General features: G+C 43.4%; 1 protein-coding gene and 1 pseudogene across 6 annotated transcripts in view, besides 1 other annotated feature; one reads left to right on the top strand and one right to left on the bottom strand.

Moving 5' to 3' along the window:
- Positions 1-7,236, top strand: part of SEZ6L (seizure related 6 homolog like) — a 214,135-nt gene extending 206,899 nt beyond the window's left edge. For all 6 annotated transcript variants that reach the window (NM_021115.5, NM_001184773.2, NM_001184774.2 and 3 more), the window contains 2 exons: positions 1,313-1,415; positions 3,906-7,236. In NM_021115.5, coding sequence (NP_066938.2) covers positions 1,313-1,415; positions 3,906-3,935 — 133 coding nt within the window. In that variant the 3' untranslated portion in view covers positions 3,936-7,236. The remainder of the gene's footprint in view (positions 1-1,312; positions 1,416-3,905) is intronic.
- Positions 1,143-1,437: an enhancer, noted in NCBI's record as "tiled region #1030; K562 Activating DNase unmatched - State 12:CtcfO". NCBI's record gives its function as "activates a minimal TATA promoter and a strong SV40 promoter by Sharpr-MPRA in K562 cells {active_cell/tissue: K562}" and the evidence as "EXISTENCE:reporter gene assay evidence [ECO:0000049][PMID:27701403]".
- On the bottom strand, positions 14,307-14,416 carry RNA5SP495 (RNA, 5S ribosomal pseudogene 495; annotated as a pseudogene).

A 14,690-nucleotide genomic window follows, 5' to 3' on the forward strand; every position in this document is an offset into this window, starting at 1 on the left:
GAAGTGGTGGTTGACTTTTAAATAGTGTAGCTAGAGGAGGCCCCACTGAGAAATGACATTTGAGCAAGGACTTGAAAGTGATCATGAGAAACCTATGCAGTCCAGGCGTGGTGGCTCACACCTGTAATCCCAAGACTTTGGGAGGCCAACGCAGGTGAATCACTTGAGGTCAGGAGTTCGAGACTAGCCTGGCCAACGTGGTGGAACCCCGTCTCTACTAAAAAAATAAAAAATAAAATTAGCCTGGGCATGGTGGTGGGTGCCTGTAATCCCAGCTACTTGGGAAGCTGAGGCAGGAGAATCACTTGAACCTGGGAGGAGGAGGTTGCAGTGAGCCAAGATCATGACACTGCACTCCAGCCTGGGCAACAAAGCAAGACTCCATTTCAAAAACAAAAGAAACCTATGCAAATATGTGAAAAAGGAGGGTTTCATGCAGGGAAACAGCATGTGCAAAGGTCCTGAGGCAGGAACGTGACTAAAATAGATCATCCCTGCCCTTATGGAGCCCACAGTCTACTGGGGGCAGGGTAGAGTAAATACACAAATAAATTATAACACACTAAGATAAACACAATGAAGGAAATAGGTAGGTGTGGTGAGTAACAGAGAAATCACCTTTAAATAGATGGTCAGGGGCCAGGCATGGTGGTTCATCCCTATAATCCCAGCACTTTGGGAGGCCAAGGCTGGAGGATCGCGTGAGCCCAGGAGTTTGAGACCAGCTTGGGCAATGGGCAATATAGTGAGAGCTCGCCTCTTAAAAAATAAAAAAAATAAAACACTTAAAAAGTTAGCCAAGTGTGGTGGTGCACGCAGGTAGGAGAATCACTTGAGCCCAGGAGGCAGAGGTTGCAGTGAGCTGAGATGGCACCACTGCACTACAACCCGGGTGACAGAGCAAGACCCTGTCTCTAAATAAATAAATAGGTGGTCAAGGAAGGCTGATCTAAGGCAATATGGCATACAGTAGGTGCTCAATAAATGCTCATCCTTGTTCTTGTTTCCCTTTGCATTCAAGAGGGACTTGAATGACCTTCCAGGAGAAAACAAATTAAGCTCCGCCCCCTCCCTAGTAAGGAGAGATCACAAGGCTTTGGTTCTCGCTGCCTGGGTTGCAAGTTGAGAGCAATTATGATTTCTGCTTTCACCTCACTAGGATTCTCGCCTGCAAAAGGCTGTTTGCACACATCCTCGTCGTCATTCACAGAGGTGCCGCTGCTCAGGAAGTGGCACCAACTGTTCCCGTTCAATATTGTAATGTTTCTCCTAGCTGGGGAGAAGTAACTTCTCTCTCCTTTCTTTCCCCCAGATGTCGCTACTATTCCAACCTCCGCCTGCCTCTGATGTACTCCCACCCCTACAGCCAGATCACCGTGGAAACCGAGTTTGACAACCCCATTTACGAGACAGGGGTGAGTTGGTCTCTCTCGTCTCTTCCCAATTCCCTCCCTCTTTGCTCTGAATTCACCAACAATAAGACAAAACATTTCATTTCCTATTGCTCACAAGAGGCACAGCCAGTGGTCCTGTCTTATCCCCACCAAGAGCCCTAAAGAGATAAATGCTGGGAGAACCCAGCTCTCTTTGCAGGTGATTGGTGCTGAGGACGAGCCTAGGAGGCTGATTACTGTCAGCAGAACACCCACAGAAAAAAGAGGCTGCACCCAAGACCCACAGAGAGCAGACCAACGGTGGCCTGGTGGCAACGTGCTGCATTCCCACACATCCCACTGGGCTCCACCCTTTATTCAATGGCAGTGTGAAACATCCCTACACATTTGAGTATCAGGTCCTATTTTAGGTGCTAGGAACATAGTCATGAACCCCAATAGACACAGATTCCACCATTAATGAGCCTACCGTCTTGTGAATTATTATTATCAATAATAATACATGCCATCTGCTGGGCACTTTAAATGCATAATCTCCTTGAATCCTTGCAGCTCTCTGCAATAGGTTCCACAGTTATCTCTAATTGATTGATGAGGACATTGAGGTCCAGAGAGAGGAAAGAATAATTTGGCCAAAGTGGCACACAGCCAGGATGCACAGCCTGAAGCCAGGATGCAAATTCAACCTGACACTCTTAATCATGATGCTATCTTGCTTCCCTCGAACCTCTGACAATCCAATGTGCCCATGAATATTTTGATTACAACAAATAATACTTTTTAAGGACTATGAAAAAATTGAACAGGGCACTAGGAGAATGTATAATGGGGACACTTAGAGGGAGTTGGGGAAGGCATCATTGAGAAAGTGAGAGTAAAGCTGAGACATGGGAAGTGGGTAGAGCTTGGACAATGGGCTGAAGAAGATGCCAGACAGAAGGGAGAGCATGTGCAAAGGTCCAGGGCACATGCGAGGAAGCAAAAGGCTGGTTATGAGTTTGCAAAACCACCATCCTTCAAGTTCACTGTGTAATGATGTGCAGCCATCTCCCAACGTTTGGGGGGAATAAACCTGACTTGTTTCTTATCCTGCTAACCTTCCTTCACCTCCACTTCTCTGATCTCCTGTGTTAGTTATCCACTGATGTGTAACAATATTACTGCAAACTTAGGGGCCTAAATTAACAACATACATTTATTATCTCATAGTTTCTATAAGTCAGGAAGCCAGGCACAGCTTAGCCTGACCCCCTGCTTTATGGCTCACAGGCTACAAACAAGGCAGCAACTGGGCTGCAGTCTCATCTGAGGCTCAACCAGGGAAGGATCCACTTCCAAACTCACATGGTTGTTGACAGCATTCAGTTCCTTGCAGGTTGTTAGAATGAGGGCCTCAATTTCTTGCGGGCTGTCTTCTAGGGGCCACCCGCAGTTTCTTCCATGTGGGCCTCTCTATAGAGCAGCTCATGACATGGCAGCTGGCTTCTTCAGAGCCAGCAACAGAGAGAGAGTCATCTTGCAAGACAGAAGTCACAATCCTGTGTCATGCAAACATGGAAGTGACATCCTAGCACCTGTGTATTCTCCTAGTTAGAATCAAGTCACAGGCTTTACCCACCCTTAAAAGGAGGGGACCCCACAAAGGCATGAGCCCCAGAAGGTGGGGATCATGGGGACCACCTTGGGGCCTGCCCACCAAAATCCCATGTACCATGAAGCATAGATGTGATTGCATATCTGTGTTGGCTGAATGGGAGCTGGAGACTTTCATTAAAGCATGTGACAGTGTCAACTTCCAGGGCTGAGCCTTCTTCTATCTCCTTGCTCCTTGTCCCTGGAGCTTGGAATACATTACTCACACTCCATAAATATTGAAGAAATCAAACTACCCCCCATGTTGTAGTCGTTTCACATGGCAATGGTAGATCAGGGCATATGTTATTTTGCATTCTATGTAGCTTGCTTTGAAATCATGGGAAAAGGTCAGACTGAAATAAAGGAGAATTTTAGAGACTAGACATGAATGAATACTTATTAGTAGAGTGTATCAGTGACCTAGAACTATAGTAATGCTGAGTAACAAAGATCTCTGAACTCAATGGCTTAATGCAACAAGCATTCATTTGCTCATCAGTCTGTGGGACAGCGTTTTAGGCTTATTTCAGCTGGATGGTAATCCTGGCATTGGCTGGTTGATGGATGGGTGACTCAGCTCTGCTCTGTGTGTCCTTCATTTTCCTGAAGAGACTAAAGCCTACCAGGGCATGCCCTGTTCTTGGTGATGACAGATAGACAGGATGTGAGCAGAAACACACAAGCATGTTTCAAGCAGCTGTTGTACGCCATTTCCTTATAACCCATTGGCAAAAGCAAATCAGGGTCAGAGTGGGAGGGCACTGAAAAGTCACGACCAAGGGCATGGACATACAGAGGTGCAAAGAACTGCATCCCCCTATGTATATCACTCTACCACACAAGCGTTTGACAAATCCGTGCTTCTCTCTCTTGCAGGAAACCAGAGAGTATGAGGTTTCTATCTAAAGAGAGCTACACTTGAGAAGGGGACTTGTGAACTCAACCACAATCTCCTCGAGACATTCATCCAGAGACCATGTGGCACTTGATTGAAACCCCAGAATGTCGACTGTCTTTTGTTTAGACTCTTTATCAAAGGTTTACTGTTTTCTTCCCTGTATTTATTATATTTAAAAGTGAAATAGGTGTGGGTTTGGATGTTTCGCGGCCTCAGCCAAATTCATGTTACAGCCTCAATTCTGAAGGCAGGTGGAAGACTTGCAAAATGGCAAACCGCGGCAGCAAAAACACAAAACAGCAGATGGAGTTTCTCCCATCAGCAATGCCATGCTAAGGCTGCATTGAATTGCATGCATCTTTGGGAACCATGCCCATGATGTTTTCAGTACAAATCTAAGTCCCAAGATTAGGTTGGAAAGGGTATTTCTTGTTGGCTTAGTTTGGGTTGGAATTTAGCATGGGTACTTAAACCCATTTGGAGAGCTGTGCTCCTAAACAAATTCTGTGTCCTCTCTTCCCATTTTGCCAGCTTCTGAAAGGTTTTTCCACAGCCCCTCCCTCTCACGGTTCTTCTGAAGGTAGCAAAGGTGTTATATAAACATTGTCTTTTACCACTCTGGCCTCGCTGGACAGTGACAAAACAAGAAAACGTTTTCTTTCTAGAAAGGTGATAAACGACCAAAGGCAATTTTTCAGAGACAAATGAGAGATTTGAGAGTTCCAATGAAGAATTGGGTGAGGGGGATCATTGGGTAAGGGAATTGGGTTAAAATGTTCTTTTCTTTGACACTCTTTCAATGATGAAAGAGCGTGTAATTTATGCTACAAGTGCCAGAATCGATCACCATGTTCAGCAAGCCACTCTCAAGCTGTGGTAATAAACACACAGGCTTGGGAGGCACCAGCGGCCCCACTCATACAGTGACAAGGATTTGTGATGGGAAAAAGGAGGTGCCATGTTTGGAAATGCAGGGGTGAGCTCTGGTTTCTCCTGGGGTTCTGGAATATCTCAGCCCTCAAAATAGAGGAGACTCAAGTGCACTGATTCTCTAAAAGGTGTCATCTTCAGAATATACTTGCCATCAAGTATTTCAGGGGGCGGGAGGGTCCCATGAGAAGAAACTATTTTTCTATTCTCCAAAGCTGTCTGGATGTTGGAGGGTGGTGTGAATGCTGACTGAGGAGGTGCAGAGAACAGGGGCAGGGGATTTTAAATCACAGCAGACCATCCAGTGGAATCCTGTATCATCTGATCTGAACATCAATGAAGACAGAGAGAGGAATTTCATTCAGAAAGGATTCCATAGCCCCACATCTAGTCACACGGGCATTCCTCTTATTTTATCAGGGTCTGTTTTCCCCCAACCCAGTGAAACCGGTGAGTGTGTAACTCTTGGGAAGATTCTTTTCTAAATACAGGTATAAAGAGAAGGTGGAGGGTGCGGGTGCATGGAAGAAATACTATGTGTGAAGCAGATTCACCTTCCTGGGACCGGTGACATGGTGGTGACAGTCAATGGCTTGGACAGACAGACGGGCACAGTGGCATTTGGAACCCTCTTTGGTGCCCTCCCATTCTCTCTGGAATTGTTTCAAGTCTGCTGGTTTTCAAACAAGAAAAGACCTTTCTGGCCATAGGGAGAATAGCAGGGAGTCTATGTTTTGGTGGTTACATTGGAAACATCTTAAGCAAGATAGGGAAAGTTGATTTTAGGCACACATGTACCCTCCTTGACAGCAGGAACTCAGACTTCAATCTTGGGGGTCTAAGACCAGAATATTTTCCTTCTGCCAGAAAAGAATCTTGCACATATACTCCTGAAGGCATGAGTGTGTGGTCCATGGCAAGAAATAGCTAAAGGCTGCTTTCCAGGACCCAAAGCCCCATTTAATGCAAGAACCAGAGAAGTGTTCTAGGCCATTAGTGGACAATGTCATGTTTGGAGAAAGATAACAACACAAATAATGTAACCTTTCCTTAAAAGGCAGAACTCAATCCATTTTATTTGATGCTTATTCTAACCCTAACCCTGGGTCACCTGGAATGAAGAACTCTATGAATAATATTTGATTTTACAACGTGTTATGGTTATGTGAAAACTAAACATTTGCCTTTTATAAAGACTGACAAAATATAAATCTTTATTCTAACCCTATCCCCAAAACTAGCCAGGCCACACCCCAGATGTTCTTATTGACTATTGGAAAGATAGAAAAGGCGTTGTGTTTTTTGTTTTTTTGTTGTTGTTGTCATTGTTGTTTTTTTCAGAAGACCAGTGTCTCAGTTCTGTCTTAGTAGTACCACACCCGTAACCGTGTTTTAAAAGTTTGTTTTAGCCTAGAGACAGATCATACGAGTTCAACAATGTACAGTGTGATTGAAAAGACAGGTTGGTGTCTATTTTTCTTTTTAAAATATCTGAATGTGTATTTGTAATACGTAAAGGTAAAAAAAAATAGTGCCAAAAATGTGCAAGGCATCTCATTACAGCTCATGTACGTCTGTTTTTATAAGATCAATATTAAAACCCATTGGGATTAAATATTTTTGAATAGGATACACTCTTGAGAAACTCGAGAATGGACTGAGCCTTCCTACAAGCCACTCTTTGTTTTTAAAACAGTGGGGAAATACGTTTACAGAGATTGTGAGCTTCAGAGAATGCATGTGATGGTGTGTATTACATGCTAATTCATATAAGCTGTATCTGTCAGCTACCACCCTGTGCTTTAAAAATGCACACACTCAACCCTCTTTAGCTTGGAGCTCAGCTTTTTGCTTTTTTTTTTTTTTTTTTGTAGAATTATTTAGCTAACATAAGTATTCTGATTGCTACCTGATGGCCATTCTTACTTAGTTTCATAGATGTGCTTTAACTATGATCCTTTGAAGCTCACCCCTTGGAGAGCCTACAGAACCTCAGGCTGATAGCTTTGAAGACTGCCAAACAGCCCAGAAGGAAGCAAAGCATCTGCATAATCAGGAGGGTTGTATAACAAGTAGTGATTTGGCAAATATGTGGGTAGCTTTAGGCTGAGGCACGGGCCTCAGGCAAAAATGCCCTTCGAGTGAATCCGAAGGGCATGATCTTCCTATGTCCTTGACTAGGCATGACGAGTCATTTGAGGTCAGATATTATTTGAGTTGTTCAGCACCCCCAAAGGTAGGCATTCTCCTGGGAAATTTTCATTTCCATTTTATCGCCAAACAAAATAAAAAGCAAAACAAACTTTCTAAGCTAGAATAATGAAATTAAGTCATTTTCCACTTTGTATATATTGATGCTAATAAAACAGATGAAAAAGACTCAAGTGTGTAGAATTTTTGTTACAGACACTTCAGGATGGCACCAAGTGGAATGTTTCCAGTTTCTGGGGATTGGGTTGGGGTAACACCTACAGATACTTTGAATGCTAAGACAGGACATCCCACTCTGGAATGGTTCTGGGACCTTCAAGGGATGTTTGGGACAAGATGGGTTTGACGGCACTGCCATCTTCCAATGTTCCACCATCCTCCCTCTCTTAGCTCAGCCTGTCATAAGAAAATACCACAGACTAGATGAATTAAACAACAGAAACCTGTTTCTCAAAGTTCTAGAGGCTGAGAAGTCCAAGATCAGGGTACCAGCCAATTCAGTTCCTGGTGAGAGCTCTCTTCCTGGCTTATAGATGACCTTTTTGCTGTGTCTTCACACAGTGGAGGGAAGGGAAAAGGCAGGAAGGAGGGGAGGAGAGGAAGAGAAAGAGGGAGAGGCAGCTGTTCCTCTTCTTAAAAGGCCACAGTCTTATCAAATGAGGTCCAACCCTTATGACCTTATTTAGCCTTAATTACCTGCTAATGGCCTTATCTCCAACTACGGTCACATTGGGGGTTAGAGCTTTAACACATGAATTTTGGAGGGACGCAGCTGTCTATAGCATTGCACACCCGGCACCCCCAAAATGTATGTCCTTCTTGCACGCAAAATACATCCACTCCAACAGCCTCCAAAGTCTTAACTCATAACACCATCGACTCATCTAAAGTCTCATCTAAATATCATTTAAATCAGGTATGAGTGAGACTCAAGGTATGATTTATCCTGCGGCAAACTGCTCTCTATCTGTAAATCTATGACCCCATACAAGTTATGTGCTTCCAAAACACAATGGTGGGACAGGCATAGTATAGACATTGCTGTGCCAAAAGGGAGAAATAAGGAAAGAGGAAAGGAGTGTCGGGTTTCAAGCAAGTGCAAAACCTAGCAAGGCAAATTCCATTAGATCTCAAGGCTTGAGAATAAGCTTCTTTGGTTTGATGCTCTGCCCTAAAGGCCCACTAAGGTGGCAGCATCACCTCCACGGCTCTTTCAAGCTGCCCTGTTCACACAGCTTTCTTCAGAGAGCAGCCCACTCCTGAGGCACTGGATGGGATTGTCCTGGCTGAAACCAGAGACACAGCCCTGCCCTTGGAAACAGAGGAGAAAACACCTTGATTCTGGGACCTATGGTAGCAGTGGCACCTCTGATGATTCCTTAATCACCTTCTGGTTCATTCTTAGCACACATTCGCAGCTGATGGCTCTACTGTTTGGTTCTGTAGACTCCAAGAAGGTTGAGAATTATCCTTCATTCTGTCCTGCTTTCTCTACCCCCTTTAGTTCAAACTGGCAGTGTCTTCACTGGTATAATTCCATTCCTGGATTCTGCCAAGATAGCTGCTGAAGTCCATGAGTTGTACTCATGATCTCTATTACTTAAATTTTTATTTTTTTTTTATAGGGACAGGGTCTCACTATGTTGCCCAGGCTGGTCTCGAACTCCTGGGCTTAAGTGATCCCCTCACCTCAGCCTCCCAAAGTGCTGGGATTACAGGCATGAGCTGCCATTCCTGGCCTGGTGATCTCTTCACCAGTGATTGTTCAGACACATCCTCAGTGTTCTCTTCAGAACAAGCGTTCTATTTTTTTTTTTTTTTTTGCAATATGGATAGGCTGAAATTTTGCCACATCCTCAAGTTCTGCTTCCTTTTTGCTTAATTGTTTCTTTCTGACAATCAAGATGAGTGATGGAGGCAGGTGTCTCAATCAATCAAGCTTTATGGAGCCAGCTGAAGGGTGCACCCAGGAGAAATGTGAGCCACAGACACTTCTGTGGCTGTATTTTCCAGAGAGGTTCTTAAGAGGTTTAGTAGTTCTACATTTTCCTTAAAAGGAAGGAGGGGACAATGAAGTAAATGATTACATAGTTGTGAGAGACTTTAGTTAGTGCCCAACAAATTTATGTTTTACATAAGATACGATGAACGTTTGAAGAAAAAAGGAATAGAGGAAGCAGACATCTCAGGGAGGGGCGAAGAAATGATTAATCTCAATTTGTCTTTGTTCTGTACCTGGGGAAATAAGCTAGTTATCTACATTCTCAGCGTGGAGTCTTTTGAAAGGGCTGGTTTCTGTTTAGCCCTTAGAGAAGAAAGACTGATGGCAATTATTGAGGGCAAGGGGATAATGAGGTGTGTCTGACCTCCATCCCATCATGGCCAGACACTCAGCTTCAGTTTCTCTGGGGTCTTCTTGGCCAAGAGGAAATTCATTCTGTCAGTTGGGAGCTGAGAATTCTATTGTTATTTCTTACTTTTTTTTTTTTTTGAGACAGAGTCTTGATCTGTCACCCAGGCTGGAGTGCAGTGGCACAATCTAGGCTCACTGCAACCTCTGCCTCCCAGGTTCAAGCAATTCTCCTGCCTCAGCCTCCCAAGTAGCTGGGATTACAGGTGCATGCCACCACGCCCAGCTAATATTTGTATTTTAGTAGAGACAGGGTTTCAACATGTTGGCCAGGCTGGTCTCAAATTCCTGACCTCAGGTGATCCACCTGCCTCAGCCTCCAAAAGTGCTGGGATTATAGGCGTGACTTCTCACTTATTTAATTAATCTCTCTGCTTTCACATTTTACTATAAGCAGTCAGGAGGAACCAAGCCACTCCTTCAACACTTTGCTTTGGAATTTCCTCAGCTAAATATAGTAGTTCCCTCTTACCTGATGTAAGTGGATGCCTGAAACCACAGATAGTACTGAACTCTATATATACTATGTTTTCTCATATACATACATATCTATAATAAAGTCTAACTTATAAATTAGGTACATAAAGAGATGAAGAACAATATTAAAATAGAAAAATTGTAACAATATACCAGCATCACTACTCTTGAACTTTGGGGCTATTATTAAGTAAAGTAAAGGTTACTTGAACACAAACCCTGAAACACCACAATAGTCCATCTGACAACCAAGATGGCTACTAAGTGATGGGCAGGCAGGTAGCATAGACAACATGGATATGCTAAACAAAGGGGTGATTCATGTCCCAGGCAGGACAAAATGAGATAGTGCAAGATTTTATCATGCTACTCAGAAGAATGGGGCACAATGTAAAACTTACAAATTGTTTACTTCTGGAATTTTCTTTCTTTTTTTTTTTTTTTGAGACAGAGTTTTTGCTCTGTTGCCCAGGCTGGAGTGCAATGGTGTGATCTCAGCTCACTGCAACCTCTGCCTCCAGAGTTCAGGCGATTCTCCTGCCTTAGCCTCCCGAGTAGCTGGGATTACAGGTGCCTGCCACCATGCTCAGCTCATTTTTGTATGTTTAGTAGAGACGAGGCTTCAACTTGTTGGCCAGGTTGGTCTCAAACTCTTGACCTCAGGTGACCCACTGGCCTCAGCCTCCTAAAGTGCTAGGATTACGGGCGTGAGCCACTGAGGCCAGTCTATTTCTGGAATTTTTCATTTAAGATTTTCAGATGGCAGTTGACCTTGGGTAACTGAAATGCAGAAAGCAAAACCATGGATAAGGGGGGACTACCGTCTCCAGTTTCATTGTTCACAAATTGTACCTTCCATAAAACACTAGGACGAAGTTCAGCTAAGTTCTTTTTCACTTACAACTAAGACTGCCTTAATTCCAGTTTCAAATAACATGTTTCTAGTTTCTGTCTGAGATCTCAGCAGACCAGAATGACCTTTTTTTTTTTTTTTTGAGACAGGGTCTCACTCTGTCACCCAGGCTAGAGTGCAATGAAGTGATCACAGCTCACTGCAGCCTGGACCTCCTGGGCTCAATTGATCCTCCTACCTCAGCCTCCCAAATAGCTGGACCACAGGCATGTACCACCACACCCAGCTAAGTTTAGTATTTTTTGTAGAAATGGGGTTTCGTCACATTGTCCAGGCTGGTCTCGAACCCCTGGGCTCAAGTAATCCACTTGCCTCAGCCTCCCAAAGTGCAGAATGACCTTAAATGTTCATATCTCTACCAACATTCTGTTCATGGCAACGTAGGTTAGCATGCATCTCAAAACCCTTCCAGCCTCTACTCATTACGCAGTTCCAAAGCTACTTCCACAGGAAACAAAACTAATAAAGTGAGTGTGTGTGTGTGTGTGTGTGTGTGTGGTGTGTGTGTGTGTGTGTGTGTGGAGAGAGAGAGAGAGAGTATAAGGAATTGGGTCATGCTATTATGAAGAGTGAGAAGTCCCAAGATCTGGAGCCAGGAAGCTGGAAACCCAGGAAGCTGATATGTAGTTCCAGTCCAAGTCCTAAGGCCTGAGACCTAGAAGAACCAACGATGTAAGTTCTGGTCTGGAAGCCAGCAGGCATAAGACACAAGAAGAGCAGATACTTCCATTCAAATCCAAAGGTCATGAAAGAACAATGTCCTGGCTCAAAGCAGTCAGGCAGGAGGGGTTCCCTCTTACTGATGGGAGGGTCAGCCTTTGGGTTATATTCAGACCTTCAACTGATGGGATGAGGGTTCTACATTAGGAAGGGCAATCTGCTTTACTTAGTCTACCAATTCAAATGTTAATCTTATCCCAACACACCCTCATGAGGACACTCAGAATAATGTCTGACCAAATAGCTGGACATCCCATGGCTGAGTCAAATTGACAAAAATTAACTGACACACTCCCAAAGCCCTATAAATGCAAGGTGACCACTCTAATGAGCTATGGTGTCCATGCTAAAGTTTTGCAATGACGTTGCTATTTCTCAGAGAGAAACAGAAGAATGTTTTCACAACTCTTAAGATATAGGCATATTTGACTTACCACCATATCTTAGGTTGGGCTCCCCCAGAAGCAAACCTTCAGATAAAAATTCAAGAGCAAATAATGTATTTGCTAGGCAATTCCACAGAGTACCAGTAGAGGAGTGGTGAAGTGAGACTAGAAAGGAAAATAAGCCAATAAAAAGTGCATTGGTCAAGCAAGTTACTCCTGGGGACAACTGGGAATCCATCACGCTGGATAATTCTGTGAGATGGTGAAGAAAAAGCCTCAGGGTTGTTCTCTCTGAGCAGTGAGGGAGCTGGGGTATTTATCCACCAGTTCCCAACTGTCACTGATTGAGTTGTTTCTGGGAGGCATTAACTCCTAGGCACCTCTGGGATTCCCTGTGCTCAGAGAAAGAGAGTTATCTATGCCTGCAGGTAGAAAGCATCAAGTACAGTTCATGGGAAAGCAACTACCAAAGGAATATGGGCAAAGTACGTACAGCATCTTTTACACCTACTTATTGCCCAAGTCAATTGTTAATCAATTCATCAACAAATATTTTTAGCACCTAAAAATGCAGCTTATTGTGATGCCAACACCTTGGTAAGTTGGTCAAATGTGGGAAAGTCTAAAAATATAAGTAAATGTGGGATCAAAACTTAAAAGACTAAAGATGTCATTCAACCTGAGAAAGCTGACTGACCAAAAAAATAAAAAAAAGAAAGCCTAAGATTTCAAAGCAATTTCATTGAAAATTAACCCTTCCCCTTCTGACGATAATAGTGTCTTTCAATTAACATACAGATTTAAACAGTGTTTTCAGAAGAAAGCACGCTAGCTCATTTCTTTGTTTTTTTTTAATTCTTTTTTCTTTTGCCCATTTCTTTAAAAAAAAAAAAAAGTCCCTAACGTTTAGAAATTTTTCAATTGACATTTCTGAAACCAATGTTTCCATGTCAGTAATAATATTTGAGATGCAAAAAAAATATTACCACATCAGCAATTTGTGTTTTTAAGAGCTTGGATCTTTCCTCAAAAAAGAAAAAAATCTGAGTAACAAATTTCTGGTTAGTTTTGCTTTCACGATTCATTGTATCACCTCTAATACTAATGGGACCAAAACTATTAGCTAGGAGGGAATTGTAAGAGGATGAAAATGGGGCTATTAGAGACTAGGAAAGGATGGATGAAAGAACTCAACAAAAGGGAGTGGCAGTCTTCAGTCTTGATGAGGTTACATTTTGTCTTTGTCCTCTAAATGCTTACCCTTAAAATAAGCAAAATAGGTGTGTTAAGAAGGAAAGAGGCCGGGTGTGGTGGCTCGCACCTGTAATCCCAGCACTTTGGGAGGCCCAGGTGGGCGGGTCACCTGAGGTCAGGAATTCAAGACCAGCCTGGCTAACCCCATCTCTACTAAAAATACAAAAATTAGCCAGGCATAGTGGTGGGCGCCTATAATCCCAACTACTGGGGAGGCTGAGGCAGAAGAATCACTTGAACCCAGGAGGTGGAGGTTGCAGTGAGCCGAGATCACGCCATTGCACTCCAGCCTGGGCAACAAGAGTGAGACTGTCTCTCAAAAATAAATAAATAAATAAACAAATAAAAATAAAAAGGAAGGAAAGAAATTGATAGTGTACTTAATGCCAAAGTTTTGGAACATGACAGGGTGAAACAGTGGCCATTGGTGAGGTCAGCAAGGAGAAAAGATAGAATTACAAGGATTTTAATTGTGCTTAAAATTTTTTTGATTAAACCACTTCTACTCTGGGCAGAGAGAGTCTACCTTGTGCACTTCTTTTTTTGTTTTTTGTTTTGAGACAGGGTCTCACTCTGTCACCCAGGCGGGAGTGTAGTGGCGCAATCTCGGCTCACTGCAACCTCCGCCTCCAGGGTTCAAGTGATTCTCTTGCCTCAGCCTCCCAAGTAGCTGGACTCCAGGCACCTGCCACCATGCCCAGCTCAGCTAAGTTTTGTTTTGGGGGGGGGGGGTTGTTGTTGTTGTTGTTGTTTGTTTGTTTGTTTTGTAAAGATGGGGTTTCACCATATTGCCCAGGCTGATCTTGAACTCCTGAGCTCAAGTGATCCACATGCCTCAGCCTCCCAAAGTGCTGGGATTACGGGCATGAGCCACTGTACCCGGCCCCACATCTTTCTTGTATAGCTTCCTGTAGGAAAGAGAGTTTTTTTAAACGAGGGTTTGCAGGTAACCTAAGGGTTTTGTAACTGCTTCTTGATCTACGCTTTATACACTGGAAGTCTATTAACATGCAGACACAGATTGGCAGTGTAAGATAAGTGTGTGTGTTTTTGTTTTGTTTTTTCAAAAGCCTACAGCACTTGTAGGCTTTTGTACTCCTAGGCAGTCTCCCATCCAAGACACTAAGTAGGCCCGATCCTGCTTAGCTTCCAAGATCAGATAAGATCGGGCACATTTACAGTGGCAAGACCTTATGGACAATTATATGTTTTCATGCCATGATCCCGCATGAGAATTCATTCACCTTTGTTTGCTTCCTCACGGATTGTTTCCTAAATCGACAAAAAAGTTGAATTGACAGTATAAAACAAGGCTTTGATTACAGTAGTGTCCCCTACCATCCTTAAGCAACAGAGAAAATGCCTTTTGGGTGAGTTTCCTTGGCCCTAATATACCCAAATACCATCAAATGTTTCCTACACATTACATAGGATTTAGAGTCAGCCATCAAAAAGATCACAT

The sequence above is a fragment of the Homo sapiens genome, chromosome 22 (genome assembly GCF_000001405.40).
Source record: "Homo sapiens chromosome 22, GRCh38.p14 Primary Assembly".
Lineage (NCBI taxonomy): Eukaryota > Metazoa > Chordata > Mammalia > Primates > Hominidae > Homo > Homo sapiens.